This window comes from Homo sapiens, chromosome 16 (genome assembly GCF_000001405.40).
Source record: "Homo sapiens chromosome 16, GRCh38.p14 Primary Assembly".
NCBI lineage: Eukaryota > Metazoa > Chordata > Mammalia > Primates > Hominidae > Homo > Homo sapiens.
Window position 1 is genome coordinate 27,981,771 of NC_000016.10, and position 14,562 is coordinate 27,996,332.

The 14,562-nt window shown below is 44.2% G+C and overlaps 1 protein-coding gene across 5 annotated transcripts in view, besides 1 other annotated feature; it reads right to left on the minus strand.

The window, feature by feature from the left end:
* The window catches only part of GSG1L (GSG1 like), a 276,187-nt gene that overhangs the window by 194,243 nt on the left and 67,382 nt on the right, over positions 1-14,562 (minus strand). The window lies entirely within an intron of this gene.
* Positions 11,371-12,570: an enhancer, noted in NCBI's record as "P300/CBP strongly-dependent group 1 enhancer chr16:28004462-28005661 (GRCh37/hg19 assembly coordinates)". NCBI's record gives its function as "activates an origin of replication core promoter dependent on BRD2, BRD4, P300/CBP, MED14 and CDK7 cofactors, with strong dependence on P300/CBP, by STARR-seq in HCT116 cells {active_cell/tissue: HCT116}" and the evidence as "EXISTENCE:reporter gene assay evidence [ECO:0000049][PMID:35650434]".

Below are 14,562 nucleotides of genomic sequence, written 5' to 3' on the forward strand. Positions count from 1 at the left end.
TTTTGTATAAATCAAGGGAAGAATTTTGTTCTCAAGAATGTTAAAGCTGAAGAAGCTAAATGCTTATCTAAAATTAGAATTATAGTGATTAAATGTAAGAGATTTAAACTTACAGAGTCCTGAATTCAAGTCTCAGCTCTGCCACATACAAGCTCTGTGACCCAGGGGTCAGACTCTCTGGGTCTTAGTTTCCACATCTGTAAAATGGTTATAATTGTCACCTCTACCACATCAGGTATGGCAGAAACAGCTAGCTATCTACCAAAAGAAGTGATCTTCTGTAGTATGGAGTTATTGCTAAGAAGTAGCTGCCCTGGCCAGGCACCATGGCTCATGCCTGTAATCCCAGCACGCTGGGAGGCTGAGGAGGGAGGATCACTTGAGGCCAGGAATTTGAGACAAGTCTGGGCAACACAGCAAGAGCTTGTCTCTATAAAAAACAAAAAATGAGCCAATGTGGTGACACGCACCTGTAGCCCTAGCAACTCAAAAAGCTGTGGTGGGAGGATTACTTGAGCCCAGGAGTTCAAGGCTGCAGTGAGCTATGATTGTGCCATTGCACTCAGCCCAGCCAGGTACAATATTTCCCAGCATCCCCCGCATCCCAGTGGGGTCATGTGAGCAGTGGGTCACGTGACTAGTTCCTGCCAATATGATGTGTGTGTGCGTGAAGTGAGGCAATTCCTGGGGAGGGCTTTTATGAAATGGGTGTACTCTCTCTTTCCTCTTCCACCTAGATGCAAAGGGCTCTAAGGCTCCATGAAATGGAACAATTTGGAAGTTGCATAGTCCCCTGGGTTAGTCTATTTTGCGTTGCTATAAAGGAATACCTCAGACTGGGTAATTTATAGAGTATGAGGTTTATTTGGCTCGTGGCTCTGCAGGCCATATAAGCATGGTATCAGCATCTGCTCTGCTTCTGGTCAGGCCTCAGGAAGCTTTTACTCATGTTGGAAGGTGAAGGGGGAGTAGGCGTATCACATGGTGAGAGCAGGAGCAAGAGAGAGGAGAGGACCTTCCAGTTTCTTTAACAACCAGATCTTGCATGAACTCATTGTCGTGGGCAGGGCACCAAGTCATTCATAAGGGATCCACGCCCATGACCCAAACACCTCCTACCAGTCCCCACCTCCAACATGGGGGATCACATTTCAACATGAGATTTGTAGGGGACAAATTACCAAACCATATCATCCCAAAACACTATGTAGAGTAGAACTGCCATCCACCAGGACCACCTGTGCTGACATGTTACATGAGCAGGAAACAAACTTCTATTGCTAGCTGGGCACAGTGGCTCACACCTGTAATCCCAGCACTTTGGGAGGACAAGGCAGGAGGATCACTTGAGTCCAGGAGTTTCAGACCAGCTGGGACAACATGTTGAAACCCTGTTTCTACTGAAAATACAAAAATTAGCTGGGCATGGCGGTGCATGCCTGTAGTCCCAGCTACTCAGGAGACTAAGGAAGGAGGATCACTTGAGCCCAGGAGTTTGAGGCTGCAGTGAGCCCGGATCATGTCACTGCACTCCAGCCTGGGTGACAGAGCAAGACTCTGTCTCAAAAAAATAATAATAAAAATAAAAATTAATAAAAGAAAATAAACTTCTACTGTTACTCCATTGACATTTCAGGGCTTATTTGTTACAGCAGCTAGTGCTGCCCTACACATAGGGTAGCTGGAGATAAATGAGGTAATACATGTGAGGCACGTGGTGCAGGACAAGGACTCAGTTTCAGGGAAGCTTGATAAATTAAAGAATTGTGATTTTTGTAATGTCATCCCATATGTTTGGTTTGGTTTAAAGCAAGGCAAATATTTTCCCCTTATCTCAGTCTTATTTCTGCCCTTTTTCTAAATATAGAGATGGGGTCTCACTATGTTGCCCAGGCTGGTCTCAAACTCCTAGGCTCAAGCAATCCTCCCTCCTCAGTTACCCTATCTCATTCTCCAAGAGCATGCTTTGAAAGAGAAATCAAAATGGGGGGCAGGGATACTGGGGAGTTTTTTTGGAGGCATTCTATGGCTGACACTGTGAGATTGTGGCCCATGATTATCTGCATCTCAGCTTGCAGGAAAACAGCCTGTTGCATGGCAAGAGTGACACCATCTTGAAGTGAAATTGCCATGATGAACAATGTTTGACTCCCGCAGCAAGGTCTTTAAACGACACCTGTGGCATAAATAACCCCTGATAGAGAAACAATGCCCATAGCATAGATAACCCCTTGTCAAGATGCTTATCCAACATCCTCAGTGGTCATGAGTTTTGCAAGAAAGTCTGAGGTGTGACCAGCTACGCATGGTTTTTATCCTAAAAGTTTGCTAGAGAAAGGATATTTTTTGGAGGTCGGTGCGGGAATCCACTGTTGCATGGCCGCAAGACACCACTTCTGTTTGTAAGCCCTTATTAATGTTTCTCTCTGAGAAACGGGATTTGTCAGCCTCTTTCTTTGGCATCTCAGCTCCCTTGGACCTTGGAGGTGGGTTTGCATAGGCCTGCTCACTGCAGAACATGTAGCAATCCAGCCAGGAGCCGAGAGACCAAGAAATGGGCAGAGGGAATGAAGCATCCATGGGGGACATCGCAGGGTAGCCAGCCACTTCTATGTGGAGTGGTGTGGCTCATCTTTTGGACACTTTTGGCCCATGGCATGAGTACAAGGATGCCCCAGAAATGTCAGGATCACTGCTTCTGTGGGCTGCCCATTGGGTGACGGAAGCCCAGCTAGCAACAGAAGCAAAAGTAAAATGGCTTGAGGAGGAATTATAATTAGAAAGAAGTTTTTTTTAGAGCTCTACAGTCAGAAGTCAGCTTAATTAGAAGCTAATATTCAGGTTATAATTTTTTTTCTAGATAGGGGAAGGCCTTTATCCTGTTTCTGGCATTTTTTTTCAGTCGACTGAAACACCTTTTTAAAAATTACATTTGATCCCTCTGTTTGGTGTCTTTTCTGTTGGTATAATTTTTATTTTTTTCCTTTCTTTTTTTTCTTTTTTTGGAGACAGCATCTTGCTCTGTCACTCAGGCTTGAGTGCAGTGGCACAATCATGGCTTACTGCAGCCTCGACCTCCCAGGATCAAAGTATCCTACTGCTTCAGCCTCTGGAGTAGCTGGGATTACAGGCGCGAGCCACCACGCCCAGCTAATTTTTGTATTTTTTGTAGAGATGGGGTTTTGCCATGTTGCTCAGGCTGGTCTCGAGCTCCTGGCCTCAAGCAGTCTTCCCGCCCCAGCCTCCCAAAGTGCTGGAATTACAGGGATGAGCCCTCATGCCTGGTCTTGTTGGCATGATTTTTGCTCTTGCTCTTCCATTTCCTTCCACTTCTGCTCCTCCTGCCTTTTGCTATCTTTGAAGCCAAATGAATCAATCTAGAGGAGACTTCCTGTGCCCCTGAGACCCTGATAGAGTCTGGATGTTTGTCCCCTCTAAATCTCATGTTGAAATGTGACCTCCACTGTTGAAGGTGGGGATTGATGGCAGGTGTTTGGGTCATGGGGGCAGATTCCTCATGAATGGTTTGCTGCCGTCCTCATGGTAATGAGGGAGTTCTTGGTCTGTTAGTTCACTCGAGAGCTGGTTGTTTAAAAAGAGCCTGCACCTCCTCCTCTCTTTCTCTAGCTCTCTCTCTCACCATGGGACACACTGCCTTCCCCTTCACCATCCGCCATGATTGGAAACTTCCTGCAGTCTCAGCAGAAGCAGAAGCTAACACGATGCTTTCCGCTCAGCCTGCAGAACCATGAGCCAAATAAACCTTTCTTCTCTATAAATTACCCAGTCTCGGCCGGGCACGGTGGCTCATGCCTGTAATCTCAGCACTTTGGGAGGCCGAGGTGGGCAGATCACCTGAGGTCGGGAGTTCAAGACCAGCCTGACCAACATGGAGAAACTCCATCTCTACTAAAAAAAAAAATACAAAGTTAGCCAGGCAGAATCCCAGCTACCTGGGAGGCTGAGGCAGGAGAATCGCTTGAACTCAGGAGGCAGAATTTGCGGTGAGCCAAGATCGCACCATTGCACTCCAGCCTGGGCAACAAGAGTGAAACTCTGTCTCAAAAAAAACATTACCCAGTCTCAGTTATTTCATTATAACAACACAGACTAACACGACTCCTTGAGGAACACAGGAAAAGGTGCCACTCACCCCCTTTTTGGGGTCTTCTGCCTTCCTTGTGGGGTTCCAAGAGTCATGAGAAGGTTTCTCTGTGGTCTAAAACTCTGCTCTCTTTTGCATTGCTTTCTCCCATCTTTGAGGCTTTTGGGAGTACCAGGGATTACTTAGTACTATGACAGAATATGACCTTTGCGTGTGCCATGGCTGACAAGTCACTGATGAGGGCTGCCATTTTGAGGGTGGCTGACAGTGTTTACAACGAGAGTTATTGCCGCAGGGAGGCTACTCCTTTCTTTGCATGTTTAGATAAGAAAAGTGTGATCTGGCCAGGCGCAATGGCTCATGCCTATAATTTCAGCATTTTGGGAGGCCAAGGCAGGCAGATCTCTTGAGGCCAGGAGTTTGAGACCAGCCTGGACAATATGGGGAAACCCCATCTCTACTGAAAATACAAAAATTAGCTGGACGTGGTGGTGTGCACCTGTAATCCCAGCTACTTGGGAGGCTGAGGCAGGAGAATGAGAATCACTTAAACTCGGGAGGTGGAGGCTGCAGTGAGCTGAGATCACACCATTGCACTCCAGCCTGAGCGACCGAGCGAGACTCCGCCTCAAAAAAAAAAAAAAAAAGATAGAAAAGTGTGATTTGGATACCTAGAGGCTATGGAAACACTTGCGACAAAGGGATAAGACTCCTGCAGGGGATGGGCTGATCACAAAGTGACTTACTGGTGCGGGGTTACCCACCAGCATTGGGGAGAATGTCCTTGCAGTGAGGTACACTGTCCTTTGCACTGTCCGTGGTGCTTCTTTCTTTTGGGGGACCCAGGATCCAGTGTAAAAGTGGGACCTTGATTTGGGGAGACCTAAGTGTTCTGCCTTCCAGCTGGACCTGCTTTTCACATCTGTAAGTATTAGGCCCTGGAAATTGCAATTCCTTCGTTGGTCCTATTTGTTAATGGGCTCCGCCCTGAACTCAGTGGTCCAGTTGGTAGATGGAGACTAAATTAGAAGCTAACCATCTAAAATGAAATTGGTCTCAGTTCAGGCACAGTGGCTCACGCCTGTAATCCCAGCACTTTGGGAGGCCAAGGCGGGCAGATCACCTGAGGTCAGGAGTTCGAGACCCACCTGGCCAACATGGTGAAACCCCGTCTCTACTAAAAATACAAAAATTAGCTGGGCAAGGTGGCAGGTGCCTGTAATCCCAGCTACTCAGCAGGCTGAGGCAGAAGAATTGCTTGAACCCGGGAGGCAGAGGTTGCAGTGACCCAAGATCGCACCACTGCACTCCAGCCTGGGCGACAAGAGTGAACTCCGTCTCAAAAAAAAAAAAAAAAAGTTTTTAAATTGTTCATAAAATAAAATAGAAATGTCTTCAGAATTATCAGTATTAAATATAATGCAGATATTTTCGCCTGGGTCTATGGTCAGATGGGTTTAGGCTATCTCTGTTGGATGTTTTAAGGTCATAAAACTGTTGCTTCTGTCTGTGAATTTAAGTCTTGGAGCCATTCGATTCTAGACTCTAAGCAAATGGCCATGGTGAGGCTGAGGGACATGTGTGGAGGTCTCCCTGCCCCTGCTGTGCCCCCTGGCTGTGCTGGGAAGGGTCAGACATTATCTTCACAGCTCTGTCCTCTGCCTTGAGCTTTATAGTTGGTGTGTTAACTCGGGACCCAGACAAGCCCTGCCTTTCATAGCCATCCCTGGGTGCCACGTGGGTACTTGGGACCCAGAGTGACTGGGGAAGACGTTAGAAAGGATACTTGTGGGCTGGTCGTGGTGGCTCACGCCTGTAATCCCAGCACTTTGGGAGGCCGAGGCGGGCGGATCACGAGGTCAGGAAATCGAGACCATCTTGGCCAACATGGTGAAACCCCGTCTCTACTAAAATACAAAAAACTAGCCGAGCGTGGTGGCGCATGCCTGTAGTCCCAGCTACTCGGGAGGCTGAGGCAGGGGAATCACTTGAACCCAGGAGGCAGAGGTTGCAGTGAGCCGAAATCGTGCCACTGCACTCCAGCCTGGCAACAGAGCAAGACTCCGTCTCAAAAAAAAAAAAAAAAAAAAAACCGGAAAAGATAATCGTGTCATAGTTTCAAATTCCTTTCAGTAATTTCAAATCTTAAAGTCATGTCATGTTAAATAAAGTAACAGATCATCATAAAATGTCTGAGTCATTTCTAGGTAAGATACTGGAATATTAACTTTTAAACACAAGTTTAAGTTTATATACTTTAAGTATATCTGTTAATAAACAAAAAATTAAGGAAACATCTTTCTGAAAAATTATGAAATAATTTTCATCCACAAATACTGATATAAGACAGTACAAAATTACTTACTTCCTGGGTTTTTCACTGGAAATTAAGCTTACTAGGAGTTGAAATTATGGTAATTTAAACTACTAGATATAAGAGAAACAATTCTATATACAGAGTGTATAAAGAAAGCAAAATGTATTTTAGGTTAAGAAATGTTATTAAAAAGACATGAGGTTGTGGTTTTTGCTGAAGGAAAAGTAATTTTTTCTAGTTTAGAGGTTATTTAAAGGTTGATTCAAAATGAAGGAGAAATGGTATAGATAAAAATAAATGAATCTAAAAGTTGAGGTAAGAAAAAAGTAGAAAAAAGTCTTATAAGCAGTTATAAAGGATTTGTGGGAATCTTATCTGTGTGGTCCAAAGCTGACTGAAATTGGATGGATTTGTTTATAGGGTTTTATTAAAATTAGCTTTTGTATTGATAATACACTAATATAAAAGTAAATTTTCATTTTCTCCTTTAAACAAGAATTTATGTCATATTAATAAGAGAGAAAATTATTTTGTTTACCTTTTCAGTCAACTGCAATTAAGAAAAAAAAAAAAAGGAGAGGGCTGGGCCTGGTGGCTCACGTCTGTAATCCCAGCACTTTGGGAGGCCGAGGTGGGCGGATCACGAGGTCAGGAGATCAAGACCATCCTGGCTAACATGGTGAAACCCCGTCTCTACTAAAAATACAAAAGTTAGCCAGCCATGGTGGTGCATGCCTGTAATCCCTGCTCCTCGGGAGGCTGAGGCAGGAGAATTGCTTGAACCCGGGAGGCGGATGTTGCAGTGAGCCGAGATTGTGCTGCTGCACTCCAGCCTAGGTGACAGAGCAAGACTCTGTCTCAAAAAAAAAAAAAAAGAAAAGAAAAAAAGAAAAAGAAAGAAAAAAAGGAGAGAAGGAGAGACAGTTTCACGCTGTCTTTATTAGGGCTTTGGATTTTTTGGAAAACTCAGTCTCCTCTCTATCAAAGAGTAAAGGTTTTTGCTTTTTGCCATCTTTGAGTTATCACTTTGGCTAAATGACTATTATTTTGCAGTCATCCAGGATCCTATTTTGATAAAGTGTTTTAAAGCTTTCTTACTTTGATATCAAGTGTTTTAACCTTTGATATTTGACATACTTCCCAAAAGCAAATTTCAAATTCTAAACTTAAGTCTTCTTGACCCAAACTAACTTAGACATAACAAATAGGCCCCTGAAAGGCCAAGAGAGATATACTAGGCTTATTTGTTATGTTAAAATTATACGGACCAGGAGCGGTGGTTCACACCTGTAATCCCAGCACTTTGGGAGGCCAAGGCAGGTGGATCACCTGAGGTCAGGAGTTCGAGACCAGCCTGCCCAACATGGTGAAACCCTGCCTCTGCTAAAAATACAAAAATTAGCCAGGCATGGTGGCAAATGCTTGTAGTCCCAGCTACTTGGGAGGCTGAGGCACGAGAATCACTTGAACCCAGGATGCAGAGGTTGCAGTGTGCTGAGATCACACCACTGTACTCCAGCCTGGGCAACAGAGTGAGACTCAGTCTAAAAAAAAAAAACAACAAACAATTATATGGGAAACGTTGTCAAATAAGAAATGGTGTTTAACTTTCTTTGAGTTGTATTTGTATAAATGTGTTATTAATATGTGTCCCAAAATTGGAGGAAATTCCTAAATGTCTGATATGTCTTGGTATATGCAGTTAATTGCTTTATTCTGATTCTTTTTCCTAAAAGCTTTTTGCAAACCCTAAAGTGTGGTGTCTTCGAGGAAATTCATGGAAAGGACCCTGACAAGTCATCTTGAATAACAGGTTTCTGATAACTTTGGAGATGATACCATTAGGCTAGTAGAAACGTCCAGGGCTCTTAATTAGCTGATGTGTTTATGAGGATTGCTAACCCAACATCAAGCAGAACAAGAATTACTCACATGGGTCTGAAATAATAAAGGACTGAAATCATTTTTATGACTTTTTGTTTGAACCATTGTTGTTTCTTTTTATGTTTTGTTTTTCAGAGTCAAAGAAATTTTTTTCTTTCTTTTGAGCTATTTATATCTACAGCAATTGGGCAAAGTATACACTTGTGAGCAAAATGGAGACATTTACATTTCCCTCTAATTTCTCCATAATTTGGAAACTATTCATGAATATTCTTATTTTATTATAATATAGTTATTAACATACATTCACTAAGAATACGTTTTCTTTTGCCACTGGACACATTGGAAATACTTATTATGCCAAGGTTTTGACTAGAATGGTGTATTTTTAGATATGACCATTCTGCTTTGAGGAATTGAGGTTGACTTAATAGAGCCAATAAAAGGTCCTCTGGAAAGACTGGCCTAGTTCCTTGTCTTATGGTTCCCTTGCAAGATTCCTGACCTGTGATAAATAAAGAATGACACTTTCTAGCAGGTCCAGGAACCTCAAGATATTTTGGGACCTCAAGAAGAAAAGAATTCACCCAATTCATACAGGTAGTTTAGGCACATTTTGATGACGAATCTGTGACTTGGCTTCCTAAATCCAGACCTTTAAAAGTCTAATTCAAGTCTTTGCTATTGTGAATAGTGCTGCAATAAACATATGTGTGCATGTGTCTTTATAGCAGCATGTTTTGCAATCCTTTGGGTATATACCCAGTAATGGGATGGCTGGGTCAAATGGTATGTAACAAACCTGCACGTTGTGCACATGTACCCTAAAACTTAAAGTATAATTTAAAAAAAAAAGTCTAATTCAAAATTCCTTATGTAAGTTCCAGCAAAGCCAACTTAAAAAGAGTCTATGTGGTCAATCGCTAGTCTTGCTCCACCTTATGCAAATAATCGGGCCAAGTACAGTAAGGCTAAAATTTATTTTGCAAATAAACTGGGTCTTACTGTGATTTTTCTTTGGTAGAAAAGGGGAATTGGAGACAGAAAAACTATCTTTCAGAAGAAAACTATAACACACCTGTTATTAGATTCCAGCCTTGACAGTTGTTTCTGAGCTTTTATTATTTGCCTACAATTTGGACTGAATGCTGAATTATTTCCTGGCTACAACAAGTCTCTAAAGGAGAACTGGGTTTTAATTTTCTTCGTGATGTTTTTAGTTTGCTCCCTGATAGAATAGGTTCTCTGTTTTTTGTTTTTGTTTTTTTTTCATTCTGGCATACAAATTCTCTTTTTGATTGTAGTATTTGTGTGCATTATATTTCTTTTTTTGTTTGTTTTTTTTTTGAGATGGAGTCTCACTCTATTGCCCAGGCTGGAGTGCAGTGGTGCAATCTCGGCTCACTGCAACCGCTGCCCCCCAGTTCAAGTGATTCTCCTGCCTCAGCCTCCCGAGTAGCTGGGATTACAGGCATGCACCACCACGCCTGGCTAACTTTTGTATTTTTAGTAGACACGAGGTTTCGCCATGTTGGTCAGGTTGGTCTCAAACTCCTGACCTCAGGTGATCCACCCGCCTCAGCCTCCCAAAGTGCTGGGATTACAGGCATGAGCCACCGTGCCTGGCCCATATTTCTACTATTCAAATTATTAATGCTATGTATCTCTCATTGTTTTACTTATTCTGAGAAAACCAAAATCGTGGTATTCCAAAGACTAGAGATTATTCAACAAAGGCTGTGAATCTCCCTCCTTTGGAATCCTACTGGGCCCAATCTATTTCCCATTGCCAATGCACTGCTGATAAATCTATACCATACCAAGCGTCTTCTCTCCAGACCCAGGGACTACCTCAGGAGAGGTGGGTGAGTGAGATTGTCAGGGCAGGTTTCCAGGGGTGGAGCGTAAGAAAACAGCCTGTTGCATGGCAAGAGCGACGCCATCTGGAAGTGAAACCTCCATGATAACTGATGTTTGACTCCTGCAGCAAGGTCTTTAAGCAATGCCTGTGGCATAGATGACCCTCGTCAAGATGCTTATCTAACCTCCCTAGTGATGATGAGTTTTGCAAGAAAGCCTGAGGTGTGACCAGCTATGCATGTTTTACCCTAAAGGCTTGCTAGATAAAGGATATTTTCGGTTGGGCCCAGTGGCTCACGCCTGTAATCCAAGCACTTTGGGAGGCCGAAGCGGGTGGATCACCTGAGGACAGTTTGAGACCACCCTGGCCAGCATGGTGAAACCTCGTCTCTACTAAAAATACAAAAAACTAGCCAGGTGTGGTGGCGTGTGTCTGTAATCCCAGTTACTAGGGAGGCTGAGGCAGGAGAATCACTTGAACCTGGGAGGCCAAGGTTACAGTGAGCTGAGATTGTGTCACTGCACCCCAGCCTGGGCAACAAGAGTGAAACTCCATCTCAAAAAAAAAAAAAGGAATATTTTCTGGAGGGTGGGTGTGGGGAGCTACTGTCTCTCAGCCACCAGACATACCACTTCTGTTACTAAGTTCCTATTAAATTTCTTTTTCAAAGAAGCCAGATTTGTGAGCCTCATTCTTGGGCCTCTCGGCTCCCTCAGCCTTTGGGGATAGGTTTGCATAGATCTGCTCATTGCAGAACACGCTTCCTCTTCTGTCCTCCCTTGACATACAATTATCCAGCTCTGCTAGAGATGGAAGCAGGAATTTAGGGATCACAGAGTCCACCACCCTCAGTTTCCAGATACAGAAACCATGGCCCAGGGAGGGCCTTGGGTGACTTGAGATCTCATCATGAGTCAGATATTAAGCTGAAGTTAGGACCCACATCCTCCACCTTATAACTAGAAGAAGGTATGAGGGAATGAGGTCCCTACAGTCCCTGCCTACAGAAAATAATAACAGCTAATGTTTATTGAGAACGTACTATGTGCCAGGTGCTACTGAAATGTCCATATGTCTAATTCTCATAATAACTATATGAAAGAGGTACTGTTATTATGCCCATTTTTGAATGGAGAAACAGAAGTACAGTGAGGTTTAGTACCTGAGTCAGGATTCCGGCCCAAGCACTCTAACTCCAGAGTTTCCACTTGCTTTTTGTTGTTGTTGTTGAGACAGAGTCTTGCTCTGTCACCCAGGCTGGAGTGCAGTGGTGCAATCTTGGCTCACTGCAACCTCCACCTCCCGGGCTCAAGCAATTCTCATGCCTCAGCCTCCCAAGTAGACAGGACTACAGGCATGCACCACCATGCCCAGCTAATTTTTTGTATTTTTAGTAGAGACAGAGTTTCACCATGTTGCCCAGGCTGGCCTCGAACTCCTGAGCTCAGGTAATCTGCCAAAGTGCTGGGATTACAGGCAAGAGCCACCGCACCTGGCCTAGAGTCCCCACTTTCAATCATATTTGGAGGAATGTAACTTGTAGGAAGGATTTTATCTGTTCTATTGCACTCCAGACAGTAAAACCAGGCTCAACAGGCCCAAGGAGAGGGACTCTGCCCAATATAATCAAAGAATGGCCCAGCCTCGAAAAAAGCCCCTGTGCCATGGCATTAAACTTTCCAGTGGTGTAAGTGAGAGAGGAGAAAGGAAGAAGCTGGTCAGGCAGGCAGTTAGGGTGGGTCCTTAGTTGAATTCTTTCAAGCAAAAGAACAGCTTGCAGGCACAGATAAGGAAACTTGCACATGGGGGCTTGCCTAAGACATGCCCACAGCCGCACAGATAAGAAAGGCTACACAGATGACTTGCCCATACATGTCCGCAATGGAAAATTCTGTCCCCTGACACATGTGCAGAAAGGGGAACAAAGCAATATGCAGTAACTCAAGCTAAGGGCTCACATGTGCACTAAGAGGACAGGGCGAAGCTACCAGAAATTCATGCCTTATGCAAATGAGACACCCAGGCCTCATCCATTTCTTATAAAAGGCTTTGCATTCAACCGTAAAAACAGCAACCCTCTTCCAGGCCCCCACTGCACAGGAGAGCTTTCTTCTTTTGCTTGTTAAACTTTTGCGCAACCTCATCCTTTGTGTCCATGCTCCTTAATTTTCTTAGTCGTGAGACAAAAAACTCCAGGTGATACCACAGGAGAGGCTGCTACAACGGCTACATTCTGGTGCATTGGCGAGACTGTAACATAAGGATAGGAGAAAGGCTTGAACCACCAAGGGGAGATGTTGCCAAGATATTCAAGCAGCTCATGGAGGATGGGGCTGGGCCAGTGTTTTCTCAGGTCCCTTGGGGGGGTTCAGAATGGTGGGGGGATGTGGCATTAAACTACACTGAATTGTGTCATAGGGAACAATTCTCCCTCTAATTCCTTTCCAACCCTTCAGATGACTTCCAAAAGAAAACGTCAGTTTTCTGCAAGCCTGTCTTTAACATTGCTCTAACTCTTGCTGATAATACTTCCTAATACTTCCTGTTTCAAAAAGAAAGAAAGACCACAATATCCAGCTAGAGTTTGATGGCATTATTTTTCTTTTATGCTCACATGTGCACACATGCACACACACACGTGCACATACATATTTCTTCTATTTTGGTGAGTTTTACTGGCTTTCCGCTCCCAATTTTGATCTAAAGTTCCCCTTTTACATTCATTTTTGTAAGAAGACTGTGAGTCAATAAAAAAAATCATAGTAGAAGATGAATATGTGGCTAGAAATAAATTAATAAAGGTGATATGAAAATAGCCAAAGTCTGGAAACACTGAGATAAAATAATTCTCTGCTTCTAGGCCCACTCCAGGCTGAGAGGTCACAGGGCCACGACATTGCACATAACGGAGCACCATTCACATTGTGGTTTACAGGAACAACATTCCCTGAATCGTGCAGTGCACAGCCTGTGCAGCTGTACACAGCTGCCATGGATATTTTTAGAGTTACAAATATCCCAAACATACGAGGGAAGAGAGAGAATCTTCTGGCTGGCTGCCCTGAAATTGGCAGCCAAAGTTTCCCCCTCCAAATTGTGTTATTTTCTGTTCATGATCTTCCTACAGCATCCCCAAGTTCAGGGGACCACCACGCATCCCAAGCAGCACTGGGTCTCAACCCAACCTCGAGAAGAATGGGAGAAACAGTCCCAGGGCTCTCCTCAGGGGAGACTCACGAACATAATCCCAGCAAGGCTGCAAAAAGATGAACTGCACGTTCAAGTGTAAAGGCAGCAGGCAGACATTCTCAGACACGAACGCCCTTGGAGAATATAGTATCCATGAGCCATTCTTGAAAAAGCTAGCTGACATTGAAATACAGCTCACCAAGGAAGAATAAAATAAGCCCAAGAATGGAGAAATCATAATAAAACCCCACGGTGGGTAAAGAATCTATGTAAACGCATAACCAAAATGAAACAACTGGAGATATTGTAGTTGGAACACCTCGATGCTGTAAAAATCATATAAGCACCAAAAATCAGGAAGTCAGGGGCAGGAAGAACTGTGGTCACCACGTATTTCTTAGAAGAAACCTAATATCAGAAAGATCTTGTTTAAAGACCACAGGGACACACTTCTATCCCCTTTCCCTGCAAAACCACAAAGATAATTGTCTCCCCCAAGGTTAAAAGGGCCAGGCAGAAGAGAATGGAGAGTGGAATTCAGGCCTGACACGTGAACACAAAGTGGGCCTCACTTGTCATGAGGGACACGAGTCCCAGTGGCTCTTGAACTCCTGGCCTCAAGCAATTCTCCCACCTCAGCCTCCCAAGTAGCTGGGATTACAGGCGTGTACCACCGCACCTGGCTCCAGTAGGCTCTCAACCCAGGGCCATTGAAGAAGGACCTCTCAGGTCTTAGGAAGTTCCTGTACTGATTAAAACACACACACACACACACACACACACACACACACAGCCAGGCACAGTGGCTCACACCTGTAATCCTAGCACTGTGGGAGGCCAAGATGGGAGGATTGCTTGAGCCCAGGAGTTTGAGACCAGCCTCGGCAACATAGTGAGACCCCATATCTAAAAATAAATAAAAACACACACAAGAAAATCAACTTACTCTCACCCATACCAACCCAGTCCTAAACAGCGCCCTCTCTCTCTCTCTGTCACTCACACTCATTTCTCTCTAGGTCCATTGCCTCAGCCTCTCCTCTGGACTCCTTGCTTCCACACCATCAGCCACAGGAATACTTGTAGAACCCATATCTGAATTCTGCTCAGGAACCTCCAATTGCCTTTAGCTCTCACCAGAATGGTGCCCTCAAACACTTCTGGAAAATGTGGACTCCTAAAGATGCATATTCTCTGTAACCCAAC